The sequence below is a fragment of the Homo sapiens genome, chromosome 13 (genome assembly GCF_000001405.40).
Source record: "Homo sapiens chromosome 13, GRCh38.p14 Primary Assembly".
In the NCBI taxonomy this organism is placed as follows: Eukaryota; Metazoa; Chordata; class Mammalia; order Primates; family Hominidae; genus Homo; species Homo sapiens.
In genome coordinates, this window is record NC_000013.11 from 60,816,443 (window position 1) to 60,819,962 (window position 3,520).

Here is a 3,520-nt window from a genome sequence, read left to right on the forward strand (position 1 = left end):
ATAAGAGTCTGTAGTTTTCTTTGTACTGTCTTTTTTCTGGTTTTCATATCAGGGCAATACTACACTAGTTTCATAAAATGAATTGGAAAGTCTTCCATCTTCAATTTTCTGGAAGAGATTGTATGAATTGCTCCCCTCCTCCTCCCTCCCTTCCTCCCTTCCTTCTTCCCTTCCTTCCTCCCTTCCTTCCTCCCTCCCTTCCGTCCTTCTTTCTTTCCTTCCCTTCTTCCTCTTCCTTCTTTTTTTTCTTCTTTCTTTCAGTCAAATTTAGCAGTGGGGGGTTGTATACCAACTTTAATGCCATCAATGTTAATAAATTCTGATAACTCATTACCATACGACCAGCTTAATTCTTCTTTAAATGTTTGAATTTTCTAGTGAAATCATTTGAGCCAACAGATTTCTTTTTTGGAAACTTTAAAATTATGAATTCAATTTTCTTAATAGTTATAGGGCTATTCAAATTATGTGTTTATGTTTGTGCGTACGTAGTAGCTTGTGTTTTTTGTGGAACTGGTCCATGTCTTTTGAGATATCGTATTGATGTGTGAAGAATTATTCATAATATTTCCTTGATATCCTTTTTTAAATTTATTTTTAATGGGCAAACAATAGTTGTATATATTTCTGGGGTACAATGTAATGTTTTGATATATGGAGCTTGATATATTTATCCTTCTATCATTACATAATGTCCCTCTCTGTCACTTATAATTTTCTTTATTTCAAAAGTCTACTTTTCTGATATTAATATAGCCCATCTTGCTTTATTTTAAGCTTTGCATGATATATGTTTTTAATACTTTTACTTTTAACCTACCTATATATATATTTTCAAAGTGAGTTTCTTAAAGACAATATATAGTTTTTATATTTTATTCCATGCTGACAGTTTTTAATTGATGTATTTAGACCATTTATTTTTGATGTACTCATTGATATGTCAGAGCTAAATCTGCCATTTTATTTTTTGCTTTTCTATTTTTTTCTACCTCCCTGTGGCTTAAATTTTTTTTTTATTTTTTTTATTTTTATTTTTTATTTTTGAGACAGCATCTCACTCTGTCACTCAGGCTGGAGTGCAGTGGCCTGATCACGGTTCACTGCAGGCTCGAACTCCTGGGCTCAAGCAATCTTTGTATTTCAGCCTCCAGAGTAGCTGGAACTACAGGCACATGCTACCACACCAGCTAATTTTTCTATTTTTTGTAGAGATGGAATTTCACCACGTTGCCCAGGCTGGTCTCAAACTCCTGGGCTCAAGTGATCCTCCCACCTTGGCCTCCCAAAGCAATGGGATTACAGGCGTGAGCCAGCACACCCAGCCTAGAATTTTGTTTTGATTTATCTAGAGTATTTTTGGGTGTGTCTCTTGGTAAAATTTTTTAGTGGTTGCTCTAAATATTTACATATACATAAAGTTTTCACAGTCTACTGGTGTTGGCATTTTACTAGGTAAAATGTTTTTTATTTTTATTTTTACTTTTAGAAGCAGGGTCTCACTCTGTAGCCCAGGATGGAATGCTATGGTGCAATTTCGGCTCACTGCAGCCGGGAACTCTGGGCTCAGGTGAGCCTCCTGCCTCAGTCTGCTGAGTAGTTGGGATTATAGGCAGCATCACTTTGCTTAACTGTTCAAAAATTTTTTTCATGGATCGGGGGTTTGTTATGTTGCCCAGGCTGGTCTTAAACTCCTGGGCTCAAGTGATCCTCCCGCCTTGGTCTCCCAAAGTGTTGCGTATGTATGTATGTATGTATGTATTAGCTTAGACTTTATATTTTTTATTCATTTCAAGCATGCTTGTAATTGCTCATTGAGTAATTTTTATGGATATTTTAAAATCTTTGCTAGATCATTCTAACAGCTCTGTCGCCTTAGTATTAACATTTATTGGTTACATTCTTTCCTTCAGTTTGAGATCTTCCTGCTTCTTGATATAATGAGCGACTTTCAATTGAAACCTGGGCATTTTAAGTGTTATATATTATGAAACACTGGATCTAGTTAAACCTCTTTTTTCCTTTCTTTCTTTAACTATGATCTGTCAGTGGAACAGGCAACTTACCCTCCCGTTACTCCCAGGTATGGGTAAAAGTCCAGGTTCCACCTCTGGTTTCTATTCATACCTGATGGCTGGTGGAGGAGGACTGCTCATTACTGCCGGGTGGGGGTGGGAGTTCCAGCTCTTCACTAGGTCTCCAACGTTACCTTCTCAACTAGGAGGGATACGTGTGCCTCATTACTGCTCCCCACATGGGGTGTATGTCCCTTTATTGCTAGGAGGTAATAAAAGATCACTAAGTGTCCTGTGACAATGCTAGAGTGGGGAGCTTAAGGGACCCTTGTTTTTGCCAGGTGGGAGTAGAAAGAAGTCCCTGTTTCCCATGTGGTCTCTACTGATACTGTGAGAGAAGGAAAAGGGGAAGTTAGTTGGGATAAGTGTCCTGGCTTTGTACCCAGCCTTTGCTAACACCATCCTGTAAGGGTGAAAATGTAATGTCTCTTTATAGCCAGGTGAGGGGGGATGTCTAGGCTCTCCACCGGGCCTTGTTGGCATGAGTAGGGCCATATTTTTTTCTTTTGTTTGTTGAAATAGAGCCCTTATTATCTAAATATTTTCTGTCTTGCTAAGCTTCTTCTTTTTCATCCTTTGTCTAAAGAGAATATGTTTTGGTTGCCTTTTTTTTTTTTTGTCTTTAGCCAGTTGTATTTCTGAGTTGACAGCTTCTTTATCTCTAAGTGTGGGATATATGACGCAAAAATAAAACCCAGGGGACTCACTGCAATGTTGTTCTTTGGGTCACAAGGTACCTGGCTGAGCTACCCTTTTCTCCCACTCTTTCAAAGTCCCTGTATGTTTGTTTAATATATAGTGTCCAAGTTTTTAAGTTTTATTTAGTAGGAGGAATAATAAAGGTATGTCAACGCCATCTTTTTCTGGGAGCAGAAATCTCTTGATGATTTTTAGTGCTCTCTTTATTGTGTGTTAATGTCTAATACATGACGGTTTCTACTAGTTCTGTGCTATGATATTTCATACTGTTTTAATAAAGCTACAATTTTTAAATTTTGTGACATTACCATTTTAATTAGTCCAGTTTTATAATATATTTTAATATCTAGTTAGATGAATCCCTTTCAACTTCCTGATGAACTTTAGAGATACTATATTTGCAGAATAAATTTTATAATGATTTTTATGGGGGTTACCATACTTAAAAATGATACTATATTTGCAGAATAAATTTTATAATGATTTTTATGGGGGTTACCATACTTAAAAATGAATTTTGAAATAATACAAAATTTTGTATTTTTCCCAACTACGAATGATGTATGTCTCCTTAAATAACTTTTTCTTAGATTGAATAAATTTTGTATTTTGCTTCATATTGGGCATACACATTTCTTATTGTGGTTACTCCTATAAAAAATCTATTTGTCTGTCTTTCTGTCTATTATCTACCTTTGCTGTTATGAATAGGAAGGAGCATGGTTGGTTTAGTTGTAAAGCGACTA

At 36.1% G+C, this 3,520-nt stretch overlaps 1 pseudogene; it reads right to left on the reverse strand.

Moving 5' to 3' along the window:
* On the reverse strand, window positions 259-346 carry RNY4P31 (RNY4 pseudogene 31; annotated as a pseudogene).